Raw genomic sequence first — 8,387 nt, 5'->3', positions numbered from 1 at the left:
TTTTCTAATTTTTTTGTGTACCTAGGGAGTGCTTCCTGATGTTGTCTCACCCCTGGCCCTAGGTCTCCCTAATCAACCCACTTTAAACTCACGACTCAACATGATTCTGAAATGGTTTGCGGCTGGGAGATGAAGAGGTTGCCTTTCGTTCATTGAACACACATGTACTGAGGGTATACTGTGTGTGAGTCACTGTTTAGTTCACTTGGGGTGCACAAGTGAATAGGCCAGACAAGGCTCCTGCTCCTGGAGGGCTTTCATTCTAGTGATAGGGACAGAGAATGAGTCATTATTGCACTAAGAAAATGACATCGAATGGCATAAGGCAAAAAAAAGGAGCAGGGTAAGGGGCAGCTGACGTACAGAAGGAAGGAGGGGGCTGCGGTTTAGAGCGCTATTTTAGAGTGCTCAGAGAGGGTCTCAGCGGGAGGCAGCACTGGAGCAAAAGCAGAAAGGGGGTGGCTTGTCTGGTGAATGCACACACTTCTCTTTTACTTTGTAGGCTCTTTGCAGTGGCTCTTCAATTATGCAATGATGGTAATTTTTTGGTTGGACTCTATCTTTGTCTAAACGAGTCTCCTGCCAGCAAGTCCTGCTGGCCCTCGGCAAAATCTCATGCAAGAGTCGGGTGTGATGGCCCCTCTGTCTCAGCCTTTCTTTTTCCCGAGAGGGAGGGATGGTCAGGCTTCGGCATCTCACTCTGTCTCCTCCAGGGTTGAGTTTGGGGACTTGACTTCCTGCCCTGGCCCGTCCTCGTCCTCCCCTTCTCATGCTGGATGTAGGCAATGCTCCCCTGGTTCCCTAGCAATACCTACTAGGCTGCCTTCTCATTTTATTTGGGATTTAGGTGGAGATCAGATGCCAAAATACGATATTCCTGTTTATGCGTACCAAGAGGAGAAAACAGCCAAATGATAAAACCAGCAAACGGACAGAAAAATAGGCCCATCTATACATGAAAAAACCTCTGCCATGGGAAATTCCCTAACAGCTGTGAGATGGGCTGTTCCGCCTGGCGGGCCCTGGGTCCGCACAGCTTTCCTCTGCTTCAGTGATCTGCCACGATTCTCTTTCCTCCCTAGTTTGCATTCGCTCTTTCCTCTGCCCTCCCCTGCTCTTAGCAGGCCATGATGAAAATCTTTTTGATGTCTCTTCTACATTTGATCTTAATTTGTAAAAGCAGATGCATGGAGTGTCTCGCAGTCTCTTTCTTATGCATAGGTGAATGTGGCCAAAGTTGCCAACCCCACCCTGTGAGAGCCAGCTCTCAGCTCATCCCCGAGGCTGTGGGCAGTGCGGTACTGCATTCCCAGCATGCCGTCGGCATTCTACAGGAGCAGCTGGCTGACCTCACAATCCTGTAACATTCACAGGCTCTCTGGCAAAGCTAAATTTTAAAAAAGTAGTGAGAAAAAAATAATTTTGGTCAGGAGGACCGTCTCTGTTAGATTTAAGAGACTTTTGCCTCTTTTTAAGATTGGGCCTAAATTCAGGTGCTCCATACTTGAAGAAATGCTTTCATTTTTATTTCATCTGATGCTCAAGATAACCTCACAGATTAAGTAAAATAGGTCTGATTTATCTCTCTTTTGGTCAGAACCAATGAATGAGCCAATCGATGGCCCTTCACTTCTTCGCTTCTTCTCTCTGCCTCCCTCTCTCCCTTCATCCTTTCCTCCCCTCATTGCTGCTCAAAGGCTTTAAGGCAGCAGGAAGTTGCCTAGAAAATAAAAATGAGGCCCAGTACTTTTTCCCTTAGGCCTCCTTTCAGGTCCACATGACACAGTCCCAGGACACCCGTGTTCCCCAAGTGAGGTCATGCAGCCCCTTGGGTCTAGGAAATGGCACTTGTGAACCCTGCTGAGCAATGCCAGGACTTTTATTAGTGGAAGTTTGGGTGAATTATGGTGCCAGAGAAAGAGGGGACACCAGGTGACAGCAAACTTTCTGGGCTTTCTACACCTTGAGATTGTGCTGATTTCAGGACCCAAGCTCTGCTGTGAGGTTTTGGGGAGAGACCGGGCTAGTCCTGGGGTACTCAGCGGTCTGCATCATCACGCAGATGGTGTGCTGTAGGTAAACTAGCCAGTCTCCTGTGCCCCCAGCCTCCCTTTTTGGGCTGTTTTCCCCATTTCCATGGAACCCTTTCCTCTGCGGTCGGGGCCTAGGAGCCATCTGTCTACAAACCTAGTGTTGAAGAAGAACTGCATGATGCCCTGGTTCATCAGCCTAGAGAGGTGGGCAGCACCCTGCAATTCCCGTCCTAGATTCATCACTGCTTTTGCGAAGCTGCTTTTGCCTGTGCTTCTCAGCCTTGGTGAAGTCATCTGCATTCACAGTGGCTTGCCTTCGCCCCCCACCCCTGGAAAAAGTCCTTGTGCTGCCTGTGCCGTTAAGAAAGAGGTGACCGGCTGGGCGTGGTGGCTCATGCCTGTAATCCCAGCACTTCCGGAGGCCGAGGCGGGCGGATCACGAGGTCAGGAGATCGAGACCATCCTGGCTAACACAGTGAAACCTCGTCTCTACTAAAAAAAAAAAATACAAAAAATTAGCCGGGCGTGGTGGCGGGCGCCTGTAGTCCCAGCTACTCGGGAGGCTGAGGCAGGAGAATGGCGTGAACCCGGGAGGCGGAGCTTGCAGTGAGCAGAGAGGCGCCACCGCACTCCAGCCTGGGCGACAGAGCCAGACTCCGTCTCAAAAAAAAAAAAAAAAAAAAAGTGGGACCTTGGGGAAATCCCTTGGCCTTTCTGAGGCAGCTGCCCGCAGGGAGGGAGGCAGCCTTTCTTGGCAGGAGACACACGTCTGTGCAGACGCACAGGGCTCCCGTCTAAGTCTTCGGGGACTGCCTTGGCAGCACAGGCTGAGTGCAGGTGTCTGCAGCTCAGTGGCATCCTCCGAGGAGAAATGCCACCTTCTCCTTCTTGCGGGCAGTCCCCCTCTCTATGCCAGATCATTATGAAGCATTATCTCGCTTGGCTTTGAGGGAGAAGCACGCCCTTTCCACCCACATAAGGAGGGTGAGGGAAACGCCTCTTAGCACTTCCAGGCACTCCTCAGAAGGCCAGTGACTGGACTTCAACCTTCTGTTTCGTCTCCTTCCTGCTGCCATCCTGGTGTGCTGCTACGGCCAGCTGTGCCGCCTCTTGTTCAGCTGTGCTGGAGGTAACCAGCGCTCCGTGACAGGGCGGGATGCTCAGCTCCTGTGTGTCCTCAGTTTGGGGCCTTAATCATCAAAGGGCAACAGGAAGTGTCCCTTCACACCTGAGGCCCCTTCATCCTCTCGTGGGTGTGGGCCTTCACAGCGGCAGCTCCTTGACCTCAGTACAGCCTTCCACTGCGCTTCGTTTCACCGGCTCCTTGTGCGTCCGCCTCACTAGTGTGGAAGCCCCTTGGCAGTGGAGCCCCCATCAGTCCTGTTGGTGGCCAACCCAAAAGGCACACGTCTCAGAGGAGCAGTGTGAGGAGGGAGAAATGGCCTGGAACCAGCAGAGAGGCCTGGCTTTCCCACAGCCTACATTCTAATGTAGGGATCCAGCCAGTCACCCAGTCAATCAACAACCCAGTCCTGTGAAAGTGTCATGGGCATTATGCAGAGAACCAAGTAGGATGGTGTGGAGTGACAGGCGGGTTGTAGAACTGAGTAGGATGGTGTGGAGTGACGGGCGGTTTGCTTTCGGTTGGGTGGCTAGGGAAGATGGCTTCGAAGTCACATTTAAGCCTCCTCACATTGTTGAGAAGGGGCCAGTCAGGTACAGCTCAGCAGAGAAGAGCCTCCCAAGCAGAGGTGCTGTTTCTGCAGACCTGAAGGTAGGAGTGGATTTGGTCTGTTTGAGGAATAGAGTGAGCCATGAGTGGGAAGGGAAGGAGAGAGCAGCGGAAGAGGATGAATGACACACTAGGGCTCTGTAAAGGGAAGGAGGGTTAGATTGTATTCTCGGGGTGCTGGGAAGTCACCGGAGAGTTTTAAGCTGGGCAAAGCCTTGATCTGATTTATGTATTAGAAATACCCCTCTGACTGCTGGTGGAGAGCGGACTATAGGAGGGTGAGAGCAGAGGGAACAGAGAGATGACAATGCCATCCACAGTCCCAGCTGAGAAGCGTTTAGACCAGGACAGCCACAGCAGAGGCGGAGAGGAGACGACCAGTTTGGATCTGTGTGGGAGGGGCGACAGACTTGCTGAAAAGCTTGCCGTGAGAGTGAAGAAAAGAGAGGAATCAAGAATGACTCTGGCTTTTGACCTGAGCAACTGAGAAAGAGGACTGGGGGAGGAGGAGGTATGAAAGGGGACAGACATCAAGAGTTGTAAGGTCTGAAACGGTCCTTAAACTTCCCATTGGAGATGTCAGGTCAGATGCCACTAGATGTGTGGGCCTGGGATTCCAGAGGGACCCTATCAGTGTAGATACAGGTTAGGGAATTGTCCTCAGAGAGATGGTATTTAAATCCTAGAAGGGGAGGGTAGACAGAGAAGAGAAGGGGTGCACACAAGCAGCTGAGTGTCGTGTAGAGGTAGGTAATTAATGATGTTGACAAGGCGGCCTCAGTGGCACGGTGGGGACAGAAGCCCCGTGGGAGTGGGTTGATGAGAAAGTGGAGACAGTGACTATTGACAAATCTTGGGCTAGGAGGCAGAGGGGAAGTTCTGATGGCACAGCTGATTGCTGAGTGGAAGTTTCCCAGGACATCATAGCTCTAGGGCTCAGGAGCACTGTGGGTGCCAAAGTGTCCTATCCAGTTCCCCTCTAGTAGATGGGTGTGCCCATCCCCTGGCTTCTTTGCATGTTGGTGGCCCATGGTTCACAGGTGCCTCCCACCCTGCTCATCACTGGAGAGGTGCCCTTCACTGACGTGAGCCCCCTTGCCCAAGAAATGACAAGCTCCTCTGCCAGGAGTGACCCTCAGCTAATGGCTGGCACAGGGATACAAAAGGCCACCTGCTTGCCTTAAAGAGAGGGTGTCTCTATGATGCTTTCCAGGATCAGGCCACAGCTAGAATTCACCTGAGATGACATCCTTCATCACTTCTTTCCCCAATCCTGTCTAGCTTTCCTTACTTCTTTAGTTTTTTTCTTGGAAGTTTCCACAATAAAACACCCCCCACCCCATTGCCTGGCTTAGGCTTTGCACCTAGAGAACCCAGTCTAAGACTGGATGCCAGGGGACTCTAAGGTTGGAACTCAGGAATTAGGTCACTCACCACTGGCTGGCAAAAGGACCCCATCATAGCGGCAGGTACAGTATTAGCAGTTGCTGGTATGTGTTAGCAGTGCAGTTGCTAAGATGGCCACCCATGTAGAACTCAGGGAAGGTACAAGGAAAAGGGATATACTGGTTCATAGAACATCTTATATTTGAGAGGTTCTGAAGAAAGACCACTGATAGGAACTGTGGGATGGAGTGGCCGAATGCCCTTGAGGCTTTGAAGAGAGGAAAGGCAGGACCAGGGCAGCCAATCTCCAATTTAAAGCAAAGGAGAGTCAGCATGCCTCCTTGGTGGCCTTAAAGAGACTCCCATATGCAGCAGGAGGGCAGAACAAGCTGAAGACCAGACCCAGGACTTAACTGTTAGAGAAGAAGAATTCTGGAGCAGGCTGAATCTCAGACCAGATGAGTCTCATATGCCAAAGTCAGGGTCTAATAGGAAAAGACTGAGACCCACCATCTGGGATGGGAAAAGAGAGAGAAATGTGTTGGAAGGCTTTGAGTCTCCAGATTCCCCAAAACTTCTGGTCCTGCCAAAATGGCCTTTCCCCGTTTCTGGAAGACAGAAACCCCTCCTTGCTTGAAGAACAGGCAGATGCTTCAAATGAAGCAGGTATTCTACAAGAAGTTCTTGACTTCCTCAGCAGCTTTCCCATCCACAGATGCCCCATTTGTCCCTTCTTATCACTTAGACCAATAAGAGAATCAAAGCTCAGCATATCCCCCTAGGCAAGCATTGGTTCTGCTAAGAGAGGAGAGGGATTTCTTCAAGGAGCTGAAGGATCTGGCTAGTGTGTGTTGGGCACAGACCAGGGAGTGTGCTTGGGGGTGAATCCTGAGGGTCCTGGGCCAAGGGGGCCAGACTAGAAAGCTCTTCAGGGGAGAGTTTGTTGTTATGGGGGCACCCACCAGTGATACAGGTTTTAATAATCTTGCCAGGGCCCCATAAGGCAATTCTTATGGCTGCTGAGTGGTTCCTAGAGGCTTGTTGAGAATGACGGCCCACATGAAATGAAATAGATGTGTCAGAACTCCCTTGCAGATCATGGCTGAAGGGATCCAAAGGCTTAGGGAAATGGGCGTGCTAGAATGGATCTACTCTAGAATACCAGAAGACCCACTGGCTGCCTGTGCTTTTTGATTGGGCTGGAGGACTCTCCATTCACCAGGGAGATAAAGGATGGGTTGGTGAGAGGGTTCCAGCATGGATGAGCAGCTCAGCACAGCTGTCCTCGGGAGGCCAGGGCTGAGCTTGAAGGTGCTGATGCAGAACTGAGTGTCTACTGAAGCCTACAGAAGCTGTTATGATTTGTGGGGAATCATGAGCAACAGTCCTTCTGAAGCCTAGAATAAGAAAAGAAATGGCATCAGTGCCACCATGAAATATTGGGCTGAAAATCCAACTGATGTGGTTAAAAAGTAAATCAAGAAAAGGTTAAAAGAAAGTAAAATAAAACATTGATTATTTTCAAGTGATATGAATATCTATATATAAAATCTGTGAGAATCTATGGACAAACCATTGGAAACAGTAAGAGAACCAAGCAAGATTGCTGAACCCAAGGTGGATGGAGTTCTTTATACCAGCAACAAAACAACGTGTTTTAAAAGGCATCTTTATAATAGTGACGACAACAACGAAACAAGAGAAAACAATGGGCAAGACCTTTATGAGTTAAATGGCAAGACTTCATTGAGAGACAAGAGAAGGTCTAAAATCACGTGGACATCAGATTAAGACAAATGAGCATCCCCGTCTCCATGTGTTGGTCCTTTCCCCGAGGATGTGGTCCCTTGAAGGGCCTGGCTTTCTGTCAGGACTGACAGTTTGCCTTGCAAGGGCCTGTGTGTTTGATACCTCTCCCCAGGGGCCAGTCCCTGTGCTTTTCTTAGAGGTTGGACCCTTCCCCTCTCGCCTACCTCTCTCTCTGTCAGATCAACTGGAGCATCGGCCTATACTTAGCACTCTGGTTTCCAATTCTCTCTTCACTTTTGGCTAAAGAAGTTATCAACTCAGCTATGCATTCAGAGGCATGCTTGCTACATCCTATACAGCATTCTAGATTTTAGGGGCAGAGGATTTTTAGGCTATCTGGTTGGCCTTGTTACCAACACTGAACACCTCCATCCTTTCTTTGTCTCTGTTCAAAGTATGCTGTTTGACTTTTCTAGATCGCATATTTGTAAAAATATTTTTCAATCCGATGGTGTCTGTTTTTCAGAGGATCATTCAGTTCATTCACACTGAGTAATGACTGTTATACTTTATACAGCATTCTACCTTATTTTGTATTTTTTATTCATTTTATTTTGTGGTTTCCCAATCATCGTTTTCCTTATTTTTGCTGGTTGCTGTTTATTTTTCAGTTGTTATTTACTGCTCTTTAACCCCCTTATTAAATTTGGGAGTTCAACTATCATTTTCCATTCCATTAATGATAATGTTCCATTTCTAAGTACCCAAATCCGTATTTTCTTCATCACTATTAAATGATAGCAAATGCCAACTTTTCCTCTGTCAAGACACTCAGTTATCTGACCGTTCTCTCCACCTTGCGTGTGGTGAAACATTAGGACATTTTTACTTCCTGACTTTTCTCTTCCCCAACTTGAATGATGCCTTTGAACATTTTTACTGATGTCCCTCCATCTTAACACCCAGGTTTTCCTGAGAGAGTTTGGTACATTTATTCTAAGCTATTATTAGAATTTATCTTTCAGTACGTAGGTGTCTTTTATTTAAGATCCTTATTTCTTGGATTACTTGTTTTCAGGTGCTGATTTTCAATATATACGTACTTACAGGCATATATAAAATATCTCTGAATGCATATAGGTACATACGTATTTGGATTTGTGTATATTTGTTGCTCACCACTTCCTTTTCTCCGTCATCTTTTATTTGTGTTTGGATTTTTTTTGAGAGTAAAGTATTTCTTAGATAGGTTCATAGGTGCTATAATCTCTGGACCATGCATTTCTACAAGTATCATTTCTGGCTTCTGGTGTCAGCAGCATGGCAGCAGCAGGTGGTTTTTAACCCTCTTTCAAGGCATTAAGGTGAGAGGAGTCTCAGCTGACTTGCTCAGCGCTTCTTCAGCTCCCTGGAGGTCAGAGAGAACAGGCACAGTCCTGTGGGCTATTATTGTCTTCCCCTGGGGTTTTCCTATCTCTGCACACTAA

The 8,387-nt window shown here is 48.5% G+C and overlaps 2 annotated features.

Moving 5' to 3' along the window:
• Positions 194–1,089: an enhancer, noted in NCBI's record as "OCT4-NANOG-H3K27ac-H3K4me1 hESC enhancer chr11:133765239-133766134 (GRCh37/hg19 assembly coordinates)". NCBI's record gives its function as "activates a minimal SCP1, AML or CMV promoter by ChIP-STARR-seq in naive H9 embryonic stem cells {active_cell/tissue: H9 hESC(naive)}" and the evidence as "EXISTENCE:reporter gene assay evidence [ECO:0000049][PMID:30033119]".
• Positions 1,090–1,985: an enhancer, noted in NCBI's record as "OCT4-NANOG-H3K27ac-H3K4me1 hESC enhancer chr11:133764343-133765238 (GRCh37/hg19 assembly coordinates)". NCBI's record gives its function as "activates a minimal SCP1, AML or CMV promoter by ChIP-STARR-seq in naive and primed H9 embryonic stem cells {active_cell/tissue: H9 hESC(naive and primed)}" and the evidence as "EXISTENCE:reporter gene assay evidence [ECO:0000049][PMID:30033119]".

Source organism: Homo sapiens, chromosome 11, assembly GCF_000001405.40.
Source record: "Homo sapiens chromosome 11, GRCh38.p14 Primary Assembly".
Taxonomy (NCBI): Eukaryota; Metazoa; Chordata; class Mammalia; order Primates; family Hominidae; genus Homo; species Homo sapiens.
This window is presented reverse-complemented; position numbering and strand designations above follow the sequence as displayed.